At 40.8% G+C, this 22775-nt stretch overlaps 1 long non-coding RNA gene across 1 annotated transcript in view, besides 1 other annotated feature; it reads right to left on the reverse strand.

Annotated features, from left to right (window-relative positions):
* Positions 1-22775, reverse strand: part of CLCA4-AS1 (CLCA4 antisense RNA 1) — a 133313-nt gene that overhangs the window by 40144 nt on the left and 70394 nt on the right. The gene's annotated exons all lie outside the window — the stretch shown is intronic.
* Positions 5900-5949: an enhancer, noted in NCBI's record as "active region_1278". NCBI's record gives its function as "activates an Ori minimal core promoter by ATAC-STARR-seq in GM12878 lymphoblastoid cells {active_cell/tissue: GM12878}" and the evidence as "EXISTENCE:reporter gene assay evidence [ECO:0000049][PMID:35858748]".

Genomic DNA, 22775 nt, shown 5'->3' on the forward strand with positions numbered 1-22775 from the left:
TGCGTCTATTTGATTCTTCTCTCTTTTCTTCTTTATTAGTCTTGCTAGCGATCTATCAATTTTGTTGATCTTTTCAAAAAATCAGTTCCTGGATTCATTGATTTTTTGAAGAGTTTTTTGTGTCTCTATTTCCTTCAGTTCTGCTCTGATCTTAGTTATTTCTTGCCTTCTGCTAGATTTTGAATGTGTTTGCTCTTGCTTCTCTAGTTCTTTTAGTTATGATGTTAGGGTGCCAATTTTAGATCTTTCCTGCTTCCTCTTGTGGGCACTTAGTGCTATAAATTTCCCTCTACACACTGCTTTGAATGTGTCCCAGAGATTCTGGTATGTTGTGTCTTTGTTCTCATTGGTTTCAAAGAACATCTTTATTTCTGCCTTCATTTTGTTATGTACCCAGTAGTCATTCAGGAGCAGCTTGTTCAGTTTCCATGTAGTTGAGCAGTTCTGAGTGAGTTTCTTAATCCTGAGTTCTAGTTTGATTGCACTGTGGTCTGAGAGATAGTTTGTTATAATTTCTGTTCTTTTACATTTGCTGAGGAGAGCTTTACTTCCAACTATGTGGTCCATTTTGGAATAGGTGTGGTGTGGTGCTGAAAAGAAGTATATTCTGTTGATTTGGGGTGGAGAGTTCTGTAGATGTCTATTAGGTCTGCTTGGCGCAGAGCTGAGTTCAATTCCTGGATATCCTTGTTAACTTTCTGTCTTGTTGATCTGTCTAATGTTGACAGTGGGGTGTTAAAGTCTCCCATTATTATTGTGTGGGAATCTAACTCTCTTTGTAGGTCTCTAAGGACTTGCTTTATGAATCTGGGTGTTCCTATATTTGGTGCATATATATTTAGGATAGTTATCTCTTCTTGCTGAATTGATCCCTTTACCATTATGTAATGGCCTTCTTTGTCTCTTTTGATCTTTGTTGGTTTAAAGTCTGTTTTATCAGAGACTAGGATTGCAACCCATGCCTTTTTTTGTTTTCCACTTGCTTGGTAGATCTTCCTCCATCCCTTTATTTTGAGCCTATGTATGTCTCTGCATATGAGATGGGTTTCCTGAATACAGCACACTGATGGGTCTTGACTATGCAATTTTCCAGTCTGTGTCTTTTAATTGGAGCATTTAGCCCATTTACACTTAAGGTTAATATTGTTATGTGTGAATTTGATCCTGTCATTATGATGTTAGCTGGTTATTTTGCTCGTTAGTTGATGCAGTTTCTTCTTAGCCTCGATGGTCTTTACGATTTGGAATGTTTTTGTAGTGGCTAGTACTCGTTGTTCCTTTTCATGTTTAGTGCTTCCTTCAGGAGCTCTTGTAGGGCAGGCCTGGTGGTGACAAAATCTCCCACCATTTGCTTCTCTGTAAAGGATTTTATTTCTCCTTCACTTATGAAGCTTAGTTTGGCTGGGTATGAAATTCTGGGTTGAAAATTCTTTTCTTTAAGAATGTTGAATATTGGCCCCCACTCTCTTCTGGCTTGTAGAGTTTCTGCTGAGAGATCCACTGTTAGTCTGATGGGCTTCCCTTTGTGGGTAACCCGACCTTTCTCTCTGGGTGCCCTTAACATATTTTCCTTCATTTTGACTTTGGTGAATCTGACAATTATGTGTCTTGGAGTTGCACTTCTCAAGGAGTATCTCTGTGGCATTCTCTGTATTTCCTGAATTTGAATGTTGTCCTGCCTTGCTAGATTGGGGAAGTTCTCCTGGATAATATCCTGCAGAGTGTTTTCCAACTTGGTTCCATTCTCCCCGTCACTTTCAGGTACACCAATCAGACGTAGATTTGGTCTTTTCACATAGTCCCATTTTTCTTGGAGGCTTTGTTCATTTCTTTTTGTTCTTTTTTCTCTAAACTTCTCTTCTCACTTCATTTCATTCATTTGATCTTCCATCACTGATACCCTTTCTTCCAGTTGATCGAATCAGCTACTGAAGGTTGTGCATTCATCACGTAGTTCTCGTGCCATGGTTTTCAGCTCCATCAGGTCCTTTAAGGACTTCTCTGCATTGATTATTCTAGTTAGCCATTCGTCTAATCTTTTTTCAAGGTTTTTAACTTCTTTGCAATGAGTTCGAAATATCCTCCTTTAGCTCGGAGAAGTTTGTTATTACCGATTGTCTGAAGCCTTCTCTCAACTCATCAAAGTCATTCTCCATCCAGCTTTGTTCCTTTGCTGGCGAGGAGCTGCATTCCTTTGGAGGAGAAGAGGTGCTCTGATTTTTAGAATTTTCAGCTTTTCTGCTATGGTTTCTCCCCATCTTTGTGGTTTTATCTACCTTTGGTCTTTGATTATGGTGACGTATCAATGGGGTTTTGGTGTGGATGTCCTTTCTGTTTGTTAGTTTTCCTTCTAACAGTCAGGACCCTCAGCTGCAGGTCTTTTGGAGTTTGCTGGAGGTCCACTCCAGACCCTGTTTGCCTGATGTCACCAGCAGAGTCTGCAGAATGGTAAATGTTGCTGCCTGATCATTCCTCTGGAAGCTTCGTCTCAGAGGGACACCCGGCCGTATGTAGTGTCAGTCACCACCTACTGGGAGATGCCTCCCAGTTAGGCTACTTAGGGGTCAGGGACCCACTTGAGGAGGCAGTCTGTCCGTTCTCAGATCTCAAGCTCCGTGCTGGGAGAACCACTACTCTTCACAGCTGTCAGACAGGGACATTAAGTATGCCGAAGTTTCTGCTGCCTTTTTTTCTGCTATGCCCTGCCCCTAGAGGTAGAGTCTACAGAAGCAGGCAGGCCTCCTTGAGCTGCAGTGGGCTCCACCCAGTTCGAGCTTCCTGGGCTTTGTTTACCTACTCGAGCCTCAGCAATGGTGGATGCCCCTCCCTCAGCCTTGCTGGCACCTCACTGCCACCTCGCAGTTCAATCTCAGACTGCTGTGCCAGCAGTGAGCGAGGCTCTGTGGGCATGGGACTCTCTGTGCCAGGCACAGGATATAATCTCCTGCTGTGCCATTTGCTAAGACCATTGGAAAAGCGCAATATTAGGGTGGGTGTGTCCCGATTTTCCAGGTATTGTCTGTCATGGCTTCCCTTTGCTAGGAAAGGGAATTCCCAAACCCCTCACGCTTCCCGGGTGAGGTGATGCCCCACCCTGCTCCATGGACTGCACCCACTTTCTGACAAGCCCCTGTGAGATGAACCCAGTACCTCAGTTGGAAGTGCAGAAATCACCCATCTTCTGTGTCACTCACCCTGGGAGCTGCAGACTGGAGCTGTTCCTATTGGGCCATCTTCACTAAAAAGCTGTAGGTTGTTAAAGGAAGAGGCTTCCATTATGTATCTGAAAGCAAAATCTGACTTTCTGTGTGTGCTAAGTAAAGAAGAGCTGTGTTTCTAGGCAAAGACTCTGAAGAAAACAAACTACTGATATATTTGATTTGGGGAAGCATAAAATCTTGAAAATAGTGAAAAACACTTAAGAGGGAGTAGTTAAAGATTGATTGATCATAGGATTGATGGCCACAGAAGTGTTGTCACTGGAGTGAGGCTATTGCTCCTCGGCCAACTTTTTTTTTTTTTTTTGAGATGGAGTCTCACCCTGTCACTCAGGCTGGAGTGCAGTGGTGTGATCTCGGCTCACTGCAACCTCTGCCTCTTGAGCTCAACTTATTCTCCTGCCTCAGCCTCCCGAATAGCTGGGATTACAGGCATGAGCCACCATGCCTGGCTAATTGTGTTTTTGTATCTTTAGTAGAGACAGGGTTTCACCATGTTGGCCAGGCTGGTCTTGAAATCCTGACCTTGTGATCCACCCGTCTTGGCCTCCCAAAGTGCTGGAATTACAGGCGTGAGCCACCGCGCCTGGCCTCCTTGGCCAACTTTTACAGGTGTGTGCTCTGGTAAGAAGCTGACATTGATCTATGAGATGAGTGAAATCTGTTCTGTTGTTACTTTTTTACTATGACCAAATGTCATTCCATCTCTTCCTAAGGGAATAAGAATTTATTATTGTTAACAAGGAGAGAAATGTTAGAGCTGTATTTAATATATGTCATGTTTGAGATACCCATCAGCCATCCAAGTAAAGATGTTCAGTAGATAATAGGTTATGTCAATCTGGAATTTCAGGTACACATCAAGTCTGAGAGTTATCAGCCTATAAATGGTATTTACAACTACAGATTGGATGAAAACACCTTAGGGAGAGAATGTATCTAGCTAGAGCCCTGGATGGGGAGAGGTCTCTAAACTTGGCAGGATACAACAAAGTTGTATGAGAATAATGATCAGGAGGTCCATAAATAATCCTAAATATTTCATGATGTATTGCATTTAAATACAGAAAAACATACAAGAACTTTAAAGGGTAAAATTGACCCAACTTTACTTGAAAATTCTGAGTATTAAACTGCAAATAAGTCATAAATAAAGGAAACATATTTATAAAAATGAAATTTAATGATAGCATTCAGTACACACTCCATGCCTCGCATTATATAAGCACTTGGAGAATGAGATGAGTGGGAAGACTTCTCTCATGAAGTTTTGAACTCATCCTTCCATTCATTCTATCAAGAAATACTTAGCCAATTCTTTTGAGGTAACTGATACATGCTTAAGTAATGGGTATATGTCTGTGAACAAGACAGACATACTTATGAAATTCAATGGAAAAGATAGCATTAATTGATAGCATTGATAGATGGATAAAAAAGATAGAATATACCACTCAAGTGCAAAGTATAGGATGCTATGGGCACTTTTATATCAGGGAGAACTAACATAATCAAGGAGTCATAGAAAGTTTCTCGGAAGTAAATTTTTAGCTAAAAATTTAAAGAAGGAATGAGTAGAGAGTCACCAAGAGTGTAGAAAATAATGCCCAAGGCAAAACGAACAGCAAGTGTAAAAAGTTTGAGAAGAGAGCCTCAAGCAGTTGAGAAATAGAAAGAATAATCTGACCAGAGTAAGAGATGAGACTGAAGAATTAAGTATTCGGGCTGTGATAAGGTGGGGTCCTTGCAAGTCTCACTAAGGATTTTAGACTTTATCATAAGGTAACTGGGAATAACACAGTAAGAACTTGTTTACCAAAGCTCACTACTGTAAGTGATATAATATATACAACTAAAAATGTCTGTAGAATCACAGAGGAGGGAAAGACCAACTGGTCAGGTGGGCTTCCCAAGAAGCAGCATTTTAGTCAAACTTTGAAGAATCTGAGAGATTCTACCAGGCAGCAAAAGAGAAAGGGCATTACAGAAAGAGGGAATGACAAGGACAAAGGCACAACTAACTTTAAAAAAAAAAAAAAAAAAGAGCTGGGCATGCTGGGAACAGGAGAAACCATAAAGTATAGCATTGTAAAGTGACATGAGCACAGTGAGAAATAAGGCTAAGAGGCACATTCCTAACATTTGTGTACAAATGGTATAATGTGGCACAAGGAACATATGTTTAAATATTTAAAAGTTATAAATCATGTTAACAAACAAAATTTGTTCTCCTCTCTACGTATCTTCAAATTCAAAATATGGTGGATGACAAGATGTGGAGTACAGGTAAATATGATAAATTTACTTTTATACAGGCCTTTAATTTATACTTAACAGTCCAAGTATTATATCTTTATAGGAGTTTAACAAGTCACTCCAGTTCTAAATCAAAGTTCATGAACTGTATTAGTCAATTTTCAAACTGCTATAAAGTTACTACCTGAGACTGGGTAATTTATGAACAAAAGAGGGTTAATTGACTCACAGTTCTGCATGGGTGGGGAGGTCTTACAATCATTGCGAAAGGGGAAGTGTCACCTTCTTCACAAGGCAGCAGGAAAGAAAGAGTGAAAGAGGAAGTGCCACTTTTAAAACCATCAGATCTTATGAGAACTCACTCACTAGCACTAGCACAGCACAGGGGAAACTGCTCCCATGATCCAGTCACCTCCCATTAGGTCCCTCCCTCAACACATGAGGATTACAATTTGGATTACAATTCAAGATGAGACTTGGGTGGGGACACAGAGCCAAACCATATCATGAACCTTATGATTAAAGTTACATAAATCTTATCAGAAAACAATAATTAACAGTAAACTTCTGGGTTCTAGGACCAGTCTTTTTAATGATTCCAGTAATTACTGCATATCTGATATGAATAATTAGATATGAACACAAGACTGTATAAGACTGGAAAGTTTTCAGACTCTATTAAATAGGTGAAAATGGAAAACTGCCACTGAGTGCGGTTAGCTCCACTAGAATCTTACAGGGACTTACAATGGTATCTAAACAAATTCTTTACTATGCAAATTCATTTATTTAATGTTTCTACTCCCTTATCATGCTGTTTTCCATAGCACAAAATTAGGTGTCCAGCTTTTAGGCCTTTTTGATGTTTTTAGAATGTTTTTGAATTTTTTATTGATATATCATAGTTGTATATATTTTTGAGGTACATATTTTCATACATGTATACAATGTGTAATGACCAAATCAGAGTAATAGGGATATCCATTACCTCAAACATTTATCTTTTATTTGTGTTGAGAACACTACAATTCTTCTCTCCTAGCTTTTTGAATTATATAATAAATTAATGTTAAGTATAATTTCTCTATAGTACTATTAAATAAAATAATTCATTCCTTCTATCTAAACAGTATTTTTGTACCCATTAACCAATTTTGCCTTAATTCCAGTCATATCTTCTTAACCTTTCCCTGAGTCAAAGTTCATTTCTCTCTCTTCTCCGAACACCAACTCACTTATTTTAACACTTAAATTAACTATTTATATATATAGTTTATACGTAAACTGTATATAAATAGTTATACATAGTTTATAAATAGTTTACATATAAACTATATATAATTTATTTTAATGTTAAAGTGAGTGAGTTGGTGTTCAGAGAAGGGAGAGAATACACTATGTGTGTGTGTGTGTGTGTGTGTGTGTGTGTGTGTGTGTGTGTGTGTGTGTGTGTGTATGGAAACTAAATTCCAAAAAGGGAAAAACTGTTCCTAGAGGAGGCATGGGCATAAAGATAGGGTGTGTTTTAAGCAGAGGAACTCTGCTAAAGTAAGGCAAAGCCAGCAGAACTTTTAACAACCATGCACACTGGTATGACAGATTGGAATCTATAGGAGCCCCAAATGCAGAGGTAATCCTGCCTACCTTTCAATTATCTCCATGAGACTTTTGTTGAGTAAGTAGCAGCACAACAGGCTGGTGGCTGGGCTGGAAAGCAAAAGTCTTAAAGCCCTTAGGTCTCAAAATCCTTTTAGAGGGGGAGCCCTGTAATACACACAGAACAGGTAACATTCTCTAGATATTTGAAACTAGAGGTGAACTGAAACTACCTAGAGCTGCAACTCAGCACTGACTCAGCTTGACTCCTCACAAAGAAAGGGCACACTTTTCCTGGGAGGAAATAATACTTATTTGAATCTCTATAATTATTTTAAAAACAATGAGGTTTAAGCATATAAATTTTAAAATGTCAGTATCAGTGCATGTAATTTTTTAAATGGGAGACATGTGAAGAACTGGGAAAATGTGAACCATAATTAAGAAAAAAATTATAAATATGTTAAAGAAATTGATGAAAAAATGAAGATTTTCAACAGAGAAATTGAATCTCTAAAAAAAAAATTCTCAAGGCACAGCCCACTTTTTATAAATAAGGTGAGGGAATAGGAGAGTTCAAAGTGTGGCCTTAGGCTACATCCTCTCTAGGTACCTCACGATTTGACAGCTTCTGTAGACAACCCCTTGGCAAGGACATCAGCATGTAGAAGTGTATGCCAGTCACAGTGTTTATGATAAAACTCACCTCCAGTGACTCTGAGGACAAAGTAGATGAAGGAGAGGAAGGATTTAGCTTCTATCATCTCAGACATGCGCCTGCAAGACATACCTAGAATCTTTCAGGGAAAACTACTTGAGACTTGAAGAAAAACTAGAGGTCAAGCTTGGAAAAAATGCAATTTAAATTTGAGTCATTATCATTAGTGTAATCACATTTATATATATGGTATCCTGCTCTTTTTCCACTTAGAATTAATAGGCTTATGATTAGGAAACATCATTTTAAACATACTACACATAAAACCCAATAAAGAAATCAGCTTTGGGAATCTTTTGAACTTACCTTCTGGCATACATCAGGCAGGAAATTGGAAAAGCAAATATCATAGGAAACAGATTGAAAAATAAGCAGAATAAGGTATCACGTGACAGTAGAAAACTTCTTGATATATGCCTCCTGATGACAAAATAAGTACATTTCCCACCATGAATTTCTCAACCTTCTCGATATGTACCGACATGCTCTGCCTTCTTACCTATTTCAAATGTTCCAAATTCTTTCCCATAGTGTCCTCTCTTTAGCCCTACGTCATCAAATGTTGTTTCTCCAGTGGATCATTCCCATCATTATAGTTGCTACAATAGTTCCTATCTTAAACTACCTCTCTCAGCTACTGACCATTTCTGTTTCTCTTCGCAGCAAAATCCCTTGAAAAGATTTGTCTATATTCACCATCCTGCTTTATCACTGTCCATTCTCTTCTAGACCTGTTCCTATAAGGTTTCTTCTTGTCAAGTTTGCTAATGATCTATATCTTGGCAATGCCAATAATACGTTTTTATTTAATTTCTCAAAAAGTTGACTACTCCATCCCTTCTCCTCCTAGCCTGTCTCATCTCAGTGAACAATAGTATCATACATTCAAGGATAAGGTAAAAAATCTAAGAGTTATCCTTGAGTCATCTCTTTTCCTCATACATCACACCAAATCAAGTCCTAATAGCACTACCTCCAAAATAAATTCAAAATCAATTCCTTACCTTTTCCATTGTATAACTGCAGCCCAAGCCTCCATGACTTCTCATATGAACTATTAAAAGAGCTTCCTAACTGATTTTCCTGACTCAGCTCTTGGCCCTCTACCACCTTTTCTTCACAAGACTATTATCCTGAAGCACAAATCAGGTTATAGCATTCTCCCTCTTAAGACCCTTTTAATGTCTTCCCATTATACTTAAAGTAAAATTCAGCTCCTTTCCATGACTTTCAAAGCGCTATGTGATCTAGCCTCTGCTTATATTTCCGTCTTCACTTCCCTCCTGCATTGCATTGCAGCCACATTGGCCATCACTATTTCACTCAAATATGAAAGCTCATTTTTCTCTTAGGGACCTTATCCTTGCTGCTTTTCTGCCTAGAATATCCTTTCCCTAGATATTCACACTGGTAACTCCTTCTCATCCTTCAAGCCTCAAGCTAAATGTCACCTATTGATTGAGGCTTTCTATGTTTATTATTCCCACTAGAATATAAGCACCTTGAGGTCAGGAAACTATCCAACTTGCAAATTACTTTATTTTCAATGCCTAGAATAGTGACTCACAGGCACTAGATAAATACTTGTTCATAAACTTAACTCCTTTAGAATATTTTGAGCATTCATTATAATTATAAAGGCCATCAACATATGTATATTAAATATTTATGTACCAAATCCTGTGCTTTGTGCTAAGGGTAAAAAGACAAATAAAATTCTATCTAGAGAATGACATCAGCAAGATAGTGGGATGGGAGGTGCCAACCCTCAACTCCCCAGAGAAATGCCAATTTTAAAACCACCCATGGATAAGAATACCTTTCAGGAGCTCAGGAGTCTAGCTGAGATGTTCTAGAATCATGGTGGAGCAAAAAAAATTCAATAATGTGTGCATTAAAGTAGGTAAGAACAGTTACATTTTATGCACATCACCCCCTACACAAGATGGCACAGCTCAGTGCCAAGGAAGAACCCCTTGGTTGATGATTTCTCCCACAGGTGGAAGTGAGGGAAAAGTGAGCACTCAGCTCTCCCAGAATTGAAGGTTGAATCCAAAAAACCCCGTTCTATCTTGTCCCATCCAGAACACTGAGAGGATTAGCACAACTGAATTGTCTGGCAGCAAGAAGCAGTGAAAAGGAGCAGAAGCTCAAAGCAGAGGGCACACAGATCTCAATAATTGGCCACAGATGTTACTGGCTGGCCTGTAGATATCACCAATGAACCCTGTGGGGATGTGTCACATGTGAACCCCCAAATTAACTGATATGTCAAGCACTCCATGCACATACTCCCACCACCACCACCATCATCAGCACCTTGCACTCCTCCACAGATGGCACCCCAGGTTCCCCTGAAGACAGTACATGTGCTCCCCTGAAGATGGCAAACATGAGCCTGCAAAGACAGTGCACAGATATCAACAGATAGCTCAACTCTGCTAAACGGGGAGAAGGTGCACAACTTTGATCACTCCAGATCACAGCCCTAGTGAGAGGAGGTGCCAGCTGGGCTTCCTGGGTCAAGTAGGGGCTCAGAAAGCTGTGAAACTCACTCATTCCTGCATCAGGACTTACTTCGGTCCTGGATGAATAATATTGAAGATATATGCTTAAAATATTCCTAACACCCAGATTTGTGCGTGTGTTTTCTTCCCCAAGAAAGCTATAAACAATGAAAATTTTGCTGTAAGCATCCCTGTGTCCTCTCTCCCTCTCTTCCTTCCCCTTCCCCCAAAACTAAAAAGAATGTTGACTGCCCATTTTTCTGTGACCAGCAGACTTTATCTATGCTCCCAATTCCAATTCCTTGTAAACATACTTTGTAAAATCCTATAAAATCCTGTCTCCTTTGCCATGCCACTGCAAGGTCATAAAGTAGATAAAACCTAAGCTGCAATTCCGGTTTTCCTCAAAATCTAAGACATGTCACAAAATAATTTACTGCCTTTGTTTCTCACTCTGGTAACATCTTCCCTCCGCATGTATTTCCCACCTTAAAGAGTTGAAAAGGCAACTGCATAATCTAACTCTGGCTACCTGTTTGGGACCCCTTCCACACTGTGGAAGCTTTGTATTTTCACTCTGCCCAATAAAGCCTATGTCTTTTTCTCTCTTTCGGTCCATGTCTCTATCACTCGCTGCGGGCAGCTGCCACACCAATTCTTTGGCATGGCTAAGGCAAGAACCTTTGGCATTACACTAGGAGAAGTAAATGGAAAGTTCTCACTACCTGGCCTGGTTTTATGGGATCAAGGGAAGGCATACAATCCTGACACTATCCCCCAAGAGGGAATAAGAACAGTAAGGGGATACATCAACTGAAATGATCTGAGACACCTCCAGATCTCTAGCCAGGCTGAATGGTGAAGATTGTTCTCTCGCAATGCCAGTAATCGAAGACTTGAGAAGTTTACTCCTTCTTCAAATGAGAAGGCAACAAGGCAAGGCTTCAAAGAACATAAAAAATCAAGGAAATATACCACCAAAATAATAATAATAAAGCTCCAGTGGCTGACCCCAAAGAAATAGAGATATATGAATTGCCTAAAAAGAATTCAAAATAATTATCTTTAAAAAGCTTAGTAAGCTACAAGAGGAAAAACTAATAGATCATGGTGGACAGGAGGCAGGACTAGATTGCAGCTCCCACACAGACAGAACAGTGTGTGGAGACTTGCATTGTGAACTTTTGCTCCAAAACTACTGCAGGAATAAACCAGAAAAGTTGAGAGAACCCACAGACCCTCTGAAGGAAGCAGACTGCTCCTGTAGGAGCAAGGAGACACCCCAAATACAGTGAGTGCCCAAGCTGTGGAAGTGGGAAAGGAGGATTGTCCATCTGCGAACACACACCCTCACTAGGGAACCTGAAGGTCTGGATCACAGGAGAAGATTCTTGCCTTACCTGGAGCTGAGTTAATTTAGAGAGTCAAGCTAAATACAGAGGTAGAGGAAGCAGCAGGAGAAGCCCTTTAGGCTCTCTAGGTCCCCTAGAGAGCCATTTCTGTCTTGTCCACAGAGGTCCTTGGAGAGGGCTGCCAGAGGTACTGGGAAAAGACCACAAAGAGAAGGAAATCTCCTGCTGAACTTTGTAACAATTCCAACCAAACACAAAGTTTTCTGGCCAGAACTCTGGGGAGGGCATGAATCCAGTATGCAGACTCCTCAGGTGGGAAGGCATGAAAGCCCTGCTTGCTTTCACACGTGGGAGGCTAGTAACCTGGGGCAAGTTCTCAGCCCTGCTCTTCCACTGTCTGGAAACAGAGTTGGTGTCTTTCGGGGGCTGGGGGCATGATGGAAGTGAGACCAGCCTTCTGGGTTGCTTGGGAGCTGGGTGAAGCCTGTGACTGCTGGCTTTCCCCTACTTCTCTGACAACCTGAATGACACAGCAGAGGCAGGCATAATCCTCCTAGGAACATCATTCCATTGACCTGGGAACCACAATTCCATCCCCCACAGCAGCCACAGCAATAGCCACCCAAGGAGAGTCTGAGCTCAGACACACCTAGCTCTGCCCCCACCTGATGGTCCTTCCTACTCACCCTGGTAGTTGAAGACTTCAGCATTCTATGAAGCCAGTATCTTCCTAGTACCAAAACCAAGAAAGAACATAACCAAAAGAGGAAACTACAGATCAATATCCCTGATGAACATAGATGCAAAAATCCTTAACAAAATACTAGCTAACTGAATCCAACAACATATCAAAAAGATAATCCACCATGATCAAGTGGGTTTCATACCAGGGATGCAGGGATGGTTTAATATATGCAAGTCAATCAATGTGATACACCACATAAACAGAATTAAAAACAAAAATCACATGATTACTCAATAGACACAGAAAAAGCATTTGACAAAATCCAGCATTCCTTTATCATTAAAACTCTCAGCAAAATCAGCATACAAGGGGCATACCTCAATGCAATAAAAGCCATCTAAGACAAACCCACAGCCAACATAGTACTGAATGGGGAAAAGTTGAAATCATTCCCTCTGAGAACTGGAACAAGACAAGGACGCCCACTCTCACCATTTCTATTCATGTCGTAGCCACAGCAATCAGACAAGAGAAAGAAATAAAGGGCATCCAAATCAGTAAAGAGGAAGTCAAACAGTTGCTGTTTGCTGATGATATGATTGTAGACCTAGAAAACCCTGAAGATTCCTCCAAAAAGCTCCTAGAACTGATAAAAGAATTCAGCAAACTTTCAGGAAACAAAGTTAGTGTACACAAATCAGTAGCTCTCCTATATACCAACAGTGACCAACCTGAGAATCAAATCAATAACTAAACTCCTTTTACAATAGCTTCAAAAATAAAATAAAATACTTAGAAATATACCTAACCAAAGAGGTGAAAGACCTCTATAAGAAAACTACAAAACACTGCTGAAAGAAATCATAAACAACACAAACAAATGGAAACACATCTTATGCTCATGGATGGGTAGAATCAATATTGTGAAAATAACTATACTGCCAAAAGCAATCTACAAATTCAATGCAATTTCCATCAAAATACCACCATCATTTTTCACAGGACTAGAAAAAACAATTCTGAAATCCACATGTAACAAAAAAGAGTCCACATAGCCAAAGCAAGACTAAGCAAAAAGGACAAATCTGAAGGCATCACATTACCCAATTTCAAGCTATACTGTAAGACTATAGTCACCAAAACAGCATGGTACTGGTATAAAAATAGGCACAAAGACCAATGGAACAGAATAAAGAACCCAGAAATAAACCCAAATACTTACAGCCAACTGATCTTCAACAAAGCAAACAAAAACATAAAGTGGGGAAAGGATACCCTTTTCAACAAATGGTGCTGGGATAACTGGCAAGCCAAATGTAGGAGAATGATATTGCATCCTCACCCCTCACCTTATATAAATATCAACTCAAGATGGATCAAGGACTTAAATCTAAGACCTGAAACTATAAAAATTCTAGAAGATAACATGGGAAAAACCCTTCTAGACATTGGCTTAGGCAAGGATTTCATGACAAACAACCCCAAACCACATGCAGTAAAAACAAAGATAAATAGCTGGGACTTAATAAAACTAAAGAACTTTTGCACGGCAAAAGGAACAGTCAGCAGAGTAAACAGACAACCCATAGAGTGGGAGAAAATCTTCACAATCTATACATCTGACAAAGGACTACTATCCAGAATCTACAATAAACTCAAACAAATTAGCAAGAAAAAACAATCCCATCAAAAAGTGTGCTAAGGACATGAACAAACAATTCTCAAAAGAAGATATATAAATGGCCAACAAACATGAAAAACTGCTCAACATCACTAATGATCAGGGAGATGCAAATGAAAACCAAAGTATGATACCACCTTACTGCCACAAGAATGGCCATAATCAAAAATCAAAAAATAATAGATATGGGCACGGATGCAATGAAAAGGAAAACTGGCTAGCCAGTTTTCCCAGCACCATTTATTAAATAGGGAATCCTTTCCCCATTGCTTGTTTTTCTCAGGTTTGTCAAAGATCAGATAGTTGTAGATACGTGGCATTATTTCTGAGGGCTCTGTTCTGTTCCATTGATCTATATCTCCGTTTTGGTACCAGTACCATGCTGTTTTGGTTACTGTAGCCTTGTAGTATAGTTTGAAGTCAGGTAGTGTGATGCCTCCAGCTTTGTTCTTTTGGCTTAGGATTGACTTGGCGATTCGGGCTCTTTTTTGGTTCCATATGAACTTTAAAGTAGTTTTTTTCCAATTCTGTGAAGAAAGTCCTTGGTAGCTTGATGGGGATGGCATTGAATCTATAAATTACCTTGGGCAGTATGGCCATTTTCACGATATTGATTCTTCCTATCCATGAGCATGGAATGTTCTTCCATTTGTTTGTATCCTCTTTTATTTCATTGAGCAGTGGTTTGTAGTTCTCCTTGAAGAGGTCCTTCACATCCCTTGTAAGTTGGATTCCTAGGTATTTTATTCTCTTTGAAGCAATTGTGAATGGGAGTTCATTCATGATTTGGCTCTCTGTTTCTCTGTTATTGGTGTATAGGAATGCTTGTGATTTTTGTACATTGATTTTGTATCCTGAGACTTTGCTGAAGTTGCTTATCAGCTTAAGGAGATTTTGGGCTGAGAGAATGGGGTTTTCTAGGTATACAATCATGTCACCTGCAAACAGGGACAATTTGACTTCCTCTTTTCCTAATTGAAAACCCTTTATTTCCTTCTCCTGCCTAATTGCCCTGGCCAGAACTTCCAAAACTATGTTGAATAGGAGTGGTGAGAGAGGGCATCCCTGTCTTGTGCCAGTTTTCAAAGGGAATGCTTCCAGTTTTTGCCCATTCAGTATGATATTGGCTGTGGCTTTGCCATAGATAGCTCTTATTATTTTGAGATATGTCCCATCAATATCTAATTTATTGAGGGTTTTTAGCATGAAGGGTTGTTGAATTTTGTCAAAGGCCTTTTCTGCATCTATTGAGATAATCATGTGGTTTTTGTCTTTGGTTCTGTTTATATACTGGATTACATTTATTGATTTGCGTATATTGAACCAGCCTTACATCCCAGGGATGAAGCCCACTTGATCATGGTGGATAAGCTTTTTGATGTGCTGCTGGATTCGGTTTGCCAGTATTTTATTGAGGATTTTTGCATCAATGTTCATCAAAGATATTGGTCTAAAATTCTCTTTTTTGGTTGTGTCTCTGCCCGGCTTTGGTATCAGGATGATGTTGGCCTCATAAAACGAGTTAGGGAGGATTGTCTCTTTTTCTATTGATTGTAATACTTTCAGAGGGAATGGTACCAGTTCCTCCTTGTACCTCTGGTAGAATTCAGCTGTGAATCCATCTGGTCCTGGACTCTTTTTGGTTGGTAAGCTCTTGATTATTGCCACAATATCAGAGCCTGTTATTGGTCTATTCAGAGATTCAACTTCTTCCTGGTTTAGTCTTGGGAGAGTGTATGTGTTGAGGAATTTATCCATTTCTTCTAGATTTTCTAGTTTATTTGCATAGAGTTGTTTGTAGTATTCTCTGATGGTAGTTTGTATTTCTGTGGGATTGGTGGTGACATCCCCTTTATCATTTTTTATTGCATCTATTTGATTCTTCTCTCTTTTTTTCTTTCTTAGTCTTGCTAGCGGTCTATCAATTTTGTTGATCCTTTCAAAAAACCAGCTCCTGGATTCACTAAATTTTTTGAAGGGATTTTTGTGTCTCTATTTCCTTCAGTTCTGCTCTGATGTTAGTTATTTCTTGCCTTCTGCTAGCTTTTGAATGTGTTTGCTCTTGCTTTTCTAGTTCTTTTCATTGTGATGTTAGGGTGTCAATTTTGGGTCTTTCCTGCTTTCTCTTGTGGGCATTTAGTGCTATAAATTTCCCTCTACACACTGCTTTGAATGTGTCCCAGAGATTCTGGTATGTTGTGTCTTTGTTCTCGTTGGTTTCAAAGAACATCTTTATTTCTGCCTTCATTTCATTATGTACCCAGGAGTCATTCAGGAGCAGGTTGTTCAGTTTCCATGTAGTTGAGCAGTTTTGAGTGAGTTTCTTAATCCTGAGTTCTAGTTTGATTGCACTGTGGTCTGAGAGATAGTTTGTTATAATTTCTGTTCTTTTACATTTGCTGAGGAGAGCTTTACTTCCAACTATGTGGTCCATTTTGGAATAGGTGTGGTGTGGTGCTGAAAAAAAATGTGTATTCTGTTGATTTGGGGTTGAGAGTTCTTTAGATGTCTATTAGGTCTGCTTGGTGCAGAGCTGAGTTCAATTCCTGGGTATCCTTGTTAACTTCTCTCTCATTGATCTGTCTAATGTTGACAGTGGGGTGTTAAAGTCTCCCATTATTATTGTGTGGGAGTCTAAGTCTCTTTGTAGGTCACTCAGGACTTGCTTTATGAATCTGGGTGCTCCTGTATTGGGTGCATATATATTTAGGATAGTTAGCTCTTCTTGTTGAATTGATCCCTTTACCATTATGTAATGGCCTTCTTTGTCTCTTTTGATCTTTGTTGGTTTAAAGTCTGTTTTATCAGAGACTACGATTGCAACCCCTGCCTTTTTTTATTTTCCATTTGCTTGGTAGATCTTCCTCCATCCTTTTATTTTGAGCCTATGTGTGTCTCTGCACATGAGATGGGTTTCCTGAATACAGCACACTGATGGGTCTTGACTCTTTATCCAATTTGCCAGTCTGTGTCTTTTAATTGGAGCATTTAGCCCATTTACACTTAAAGCTAATATTGTTGTGTGTGAATTTGATCCTGTCATTATGATGTTAGCTGGTTATTTTGCTTGTTAGTTGATGCAGTTTCTTCCTCGTCTCGATGGTCTTTACATTTTGGCATGATTTTGCAGTGGCTGGTACCGGTTGTTCCTTCTCATGTTTAGTGCTTCCTTCAGGAGCTCTTTTAGGGCAGGTCTGGTGGTGACAAAATCTCTCAGGATTTGCTTGTCTGTAAAGGATTTTATTTCTCCTTCACTTATGAAGCTTAGTTTGGCTGGATATGAAATTCTGGGTTGAAAATTCTTTTCTTTAAGAATGTTGAATATTGGCTCCCACTCTCTTCTGGCTTGTAGAGTTTCTGCTGAGAGATCCGCTGTTAGTCTGATGGGCTTCCCTTTGTGGGTAACCCGATCTTTCTCTCTGGCTGCCCTTAACATTTTTTCCTTCATTTCAACTTTGGTGAATCTGACAATTATGTGTCTTGGAGTTGCTCTTCTCAGGGAGTATATTTGTGGCATTCTCTGTATTTCCTGAATCTGAATGTCGGCCTGCCTTGCTAGATTGGGGAAGTTCTCCTGGATAATATCCTGCAGAGTGTTTTCCAACTTGGTTCCATTCTCCCCGTCACTTTCAGATACACCAATCAGACGTAGATTTGGTCTTTTCACATAGTCCCATATTTCTTGGAGGCTTTGTTTGTTTCTTTTTATTCTTTTTTCTCTAAACTTCCCTTCTCACTTCATTTCATTCATTTCATCTTCCATCACTGATACCCTTTCTTCCAGTTGATTGCATCAGCTCCTGAGGCTTCTGCATTCTGCACATAGTTCTCGAGCCTTGGCTTTCAGCTCCATCAGCTCCTTTAAGCATTTCTCTGTATTGGTTGTTCTAGTTATACATTCGTCTAAATTTTTTTCAAAGTTTTTAACTTCTTTGCCTTTGGTTTGAATTTCCTCCTGTAGCTCAGAGTAGTTTGATCGTCTGAAGCCTTCTTCTCTCAACTTGTCAAAGTCATTCTCCATCCAGCTTTGTTCCATTGCTGGTGAGGAACTGTGTTCCTTTGGAGGAGGAGAGGCGCTCTGCTTTTTAGAGTTTCCAGTTTTTCTGCTCTGTTTTTTCCCCATCTTTGTGGTTTTGTCTACTTTTGGTCTTTGATGATGTTGATGTACAGATGGGTTTTTGGTGTGGATGTCCTTTCTGTTTGTTAGTTTTCCTTCTAACAGACAGGACCCTCAGTTGCAGGTCTGTTGGAGTTTTCTAGAGGTCCACTCCAGACCCTGTTTGCCTGGTTATCAGCAGCAGTGGCTGCAGAACAGCGGATTTTCGTGAACCACGAATGCTGCTGTCTGATCGTTCCTCTGGAAGTTTTATCTCAGAGGAGTACCCGGCAGTGTGAGGTGTCAGGCTGCCCCTACTGGGGGGTGCCTCCCAGTTAGGCTGCTTGGGGGTCAGGCCTCAGGGACCCACTTGAGGAGGCAGTCTGCCTGTTCTCAGATCTCCAGCTGCGTGCTGGGAGAATCACTGCTCTCTTCAAAGCTGTCAGACAGGGACATTTAAGTCTGCAGAGGTTACTGCTGTCTTTTTGTTTGTCTGTGCCCTGCCCCCAGAGGTGGAGCCTACAGAGGCAGGCAGGCCTCCTTGAGCTATGGTGGGCTCCACCCAGTTCAAGCTTCCCAGCTGCTTTGTTTACCTAAGCAAACCTGGGCACTGGTGGGCGCCCCTCCCCAAGCCTCGCTGCCGCCTTGCAGTTTGATCTCAGACTGCTGTGCTAGCAATCAGCAAGACTCCGTGGGCATAGGACACTCCGAGCCAGGTGCAGGATATAATCTCCTGGTGTGCCGTTTTTCAAGCCAGTCGGAAGAGCGCAGTATTAGGGTGGGAGTGACCCAATTTTCCTGGTGCCGTCTGTCACCCCTTTCTTTGACTAGGAAAGGGAACTCCCTGACCTCTTTTGCTTCCCGAGTGAGCCAATGCCTCGCCCTGCTTTGGCTCGTGCATGGTGCGCTGCACTCACTGTCCTGTGCCCACTGTCTGGCAGTCCCTAGTAAGATGAACCCAATACCTCAGATGGAAATGCAGAAATCACCCGTCTTCTGCGTCACTCACACTGGGAGCTGTAGACCAGAGCTGTTCCTATTTGGCCATCTTGGCTGCCCACCCCCGCTTTTTCTATTGATTGGAATAGTTTCAGAAGGAATGGTACCAGCTCCTCCTTGTACCTCTGGTAGAATTTGACTGTGAATTCATCTGGTCCTGGACTTTTTTTGGTTGGTAGGCTATTAATTATTGCCTCACTTTCAGAGCCTGTTATTGGTCTATTCAGAGATTCAACTCCTTCCTGGTTTAGTCTTGGGAGGGTGTATGTGTCCAGGAATTTATCCATTTCTTCTAGATTTTCTAGTTTATTTGCGTAGAGTTGTTTGTAGTATTCTCTAATGGTAGTTTGTATTTCTGTGGGATTGGTGGTGATATCCCCTTTATCATTTTTTATTGCGTCTATTTGATTCTTCTCTCCTTTCTTCTTTATTAGTCTTGCTAGTGGTCTATCAATTTTGTTGATCTTTTCAAAAAACCAGCTCCTGGATTCATTGATTTTTTGAAGGTTTTTTTGTGTCTCTATCTCCTTCAGTTCTGCTCTGATCTTAGTTATTTCTTGCCTTCTGCTAGCTTTTGAATGTGTTTGCTCTTGCTTTTCTAGTTCTTTTAGTTGTGATGCTAGGGTGTCAATTTTAGATATTTCCTGCTTTCTCTTGTGGGCATTTAGTGCTATAAATTTCCCTCTACACACTGCTTTAAATGTATCCCAGAGACTCTGGTATGTTGTGTCTTTGTTCTCATTGGTTTCAAAGAACATCTTTATTTCTGCCTTCATTTTGTTATGTACCCAGTAGTCATTCAGGAGCAGGTTGTTCAGTTTCCATGTAGTTGAGTGGTTTTGAGTGAGTTTCTTAATCCTGAGTTCTAGATTGATTGTGTTGTGGTCTGAGAGATAGTTTTGTTATAATTTCTGTTCTTTTACATTTGCCGAGGAGTGCTTTATTTCCAACTATGTGGTCAATTTTGGAATAAGTGTGGTGTGGTGCTGAGAAGAATGTATATTCTGTTGATTTGGGGTGGAGGGTTCTGCAGATGTCTATTTGGTCCACCTGGTGTAGAGCTGAGTTCAATTCCTGGATTTCTTTGTTAACTTTCTGCCTCATTGATCTATCTAATGTTGACAGTGTGGTGTTAAATTCTCCCATTAGTATTGTGTAGGAGTCTAAGTCTCTTTGTAGGTCTCTAAGGACTTGCTTTATGAATCTGGGTGCTCCTGTATTGGGTGCATATATATTTAGGATAGTTAGCTCTTCTTGTTGAATTGATCCCTTTGCCATTATGTAATGGCCTTCTTTGTCTCTTTTGATCTTTGTTGGTTTAAAGTCTGTTTTATCAGAGACTACGATTGCAACCCCTGCCTTTTTTTGTTTTCCATTTGCTTAGTAGATCTTCCTCCATCCCTTTATTTTGAGCCTATGTGTGTCTCTGCATGTGAGATGGGTGTCCTGAATACAGCACACTGATGGTTCTTGACTCTTTATCCAATTTTCCAGTCTGTGTCTTTTAATTGGAGCATTTAGCCCATTTACACTTAAGGTTAATATTGTTATGTGTGAATTTGATCCTGTCATTATGATGTTAGCTGGTTATTTTGCTTGTTAGTTGATGCAGTTTCTTCTTAGCCTTGATGGCCTTTACAATTTGGCATGTTTTTGCAGTGGCTAGTACTCGTTGTTCCTTTTCATGTTTAGTGCTTCCTTCAGGAGCTCTTATAGGGTAGGCCCGGTGGTGACAAAATCTCTCACCATTTGCTTGTCTGTAAAGGATTTTATTTCTCCTTCACTTATGAAGCTCAATTTGGCTGGATATGAAATTCTGGGTTGAAAATTCTTTTCTTTAAGAATGTTGAATATTGGCCCCCACTCTCTTCTGGCTTGTAGAGTTTCTGCTGAGAGATCTGCTGTTAGTCTGATAGGCTTCCCTTTGTGGGTAACCCGACCTTTCTGCCTGTCATTAACATTGTTTCCCTCATTTCAACTTTGGTGGATATGACAATTATGTGTCTTGGGGTTGCTCTTCTCGAGGAGTATCTTTGTGGTGTTCTCTGTATTTCCTCAATTTAAATGTTGGCCTGCCTTGCTAGATTGGGGAAGTTCTCCTGGATAATATCCTGCAGAGTGTTTTCCAACTTGGTTCCATTCTCCCCGTCACTTTCAGGTACACCAGTCAGACGTAGATTTGGTCTTTTCACATAGTCCCATATTTCTTGGAGGCTTTGTTCATTTCTTTTTATTCTTTTTTCTCTAAACTTCTCTTCTCGCCTCATTTCATTCATTTGATCTTCCATCACTGATACCCTTTCTTCCAGTTGATCAAATCGGCTACTGAAGCTTGTGCATTCATCACATAGTTCTCGTGCCATGGTTTTCAGCTCCCTGAGGTCCTTTAAGGACTTCTCTGCATTGGTTATTCTAGTTAGCCATTCGTGTAATCTTTTTTCAAGGTTTTTAACTTCTTTGCCATGGGTTCAAACTTCCTCCTTTAGCTCGAAGAAGTTTGATCATCTGAAGCCTTCTTCTCTCAACTCATCAAAGTCATTCTCCATCCAGCTTTGTTCCATTGCTAGTGAGGAGCTGAGTTCCTTTGGAGGAGAAGAGGCACTCGATTTTTAGAATTTTCAGTTTTTCTGCTCTGTTTTTTCCCCATCTTTGTTGTTTTATCTACCTTTGGTCTTTGATGATGGTGACATACAGATGGGGTTTTGGTGTGGATGTCCTTTCTGTTTGTTAGTTTTCCTTCTAACAGGACCCTCAGCTGCAGGTCTGTTGGAGTTTCCTGGAGGTCCACTCCAGACCCTGTTTGCCTGGGTATCAGCAGCAGAGGCTGCAGAACAGCGAATATTCGTGAACAGCAAACGTTGCTGCCTGATCGTTTCTCTGGAAGTTTCGTCTCAGAGGGGTACCCAGCCATGTGAGGTGTCAGTCTGCCCCTACTGGGGGGTGCCTCCCAGTTAGGCTACTCGGGGTCAGGGACCCACTTGAAGAGGCAGTCTGCCCGTTCTCAGATCTCAAGCTCCGTGCTGGGAGTACCACTACTGTCTTCCAAGCTGTCAGAGGTTTCTGCTGCCTTTTGTTCAGCTATGCCCTGCCCCCAGAGGTGGAGTCTACAGAGGCAGGCAGGCCTCCTTGAGCTGCAGTGGGCTCCACCCAGTTCGAGCTTCCTGGCTGCTTTGTTTACCTACTCAAGCCTCAGCAATGGCAGGTGCCCCTCCCCCAGCCTCGCTGCTGCCTTGCAGTTTGATCTCAGACTGCTGTGCTAGCAATGAGTGAGGTTCCATGGGTGTAGGACCCTCTGAGCCAGGCACGGGATATAATCTTCTGGTGTGCCATTTGCTGAGGCCATTGGAAAAGCTCAGTATTAGGGTGGGAGTGACCCAATTTTCCAGGTGCCATCTGTCACCCCTTTCCTTGGCTAGGAAAGGGAATTCCCTGACCCCTTGCTCTTCCCAGGTGAGGCGATGCCTTGCCCTGCTTCAGCTCACACTCAGTGCACTGCACCCACTATCCTTCACCCATTGTCCAACAATCCCTAGTGAGATGAACCCAGTACCTCAGTTGGAAATGCAGAAATCATCCATCTTCTGCGTCGCTCACACTGGGAGCTGTAGACTGGAGCTGTTCCTATTCGGCCATCTTGGAACCACCCCCCCAATCCAATGAATATTAA

Source organism: Homo sapiens, chromosome 1 (assembly GCF_000001405.40).
Source record: "Homo sapiens chromosome 1, GRCh38.p14 Primary Assembly".
Lineage (NCBI taxonomy): Eukaryota > Metazoa > Chordata > Mammalia > Primates > Hominidae > Homo > Homo sapiens.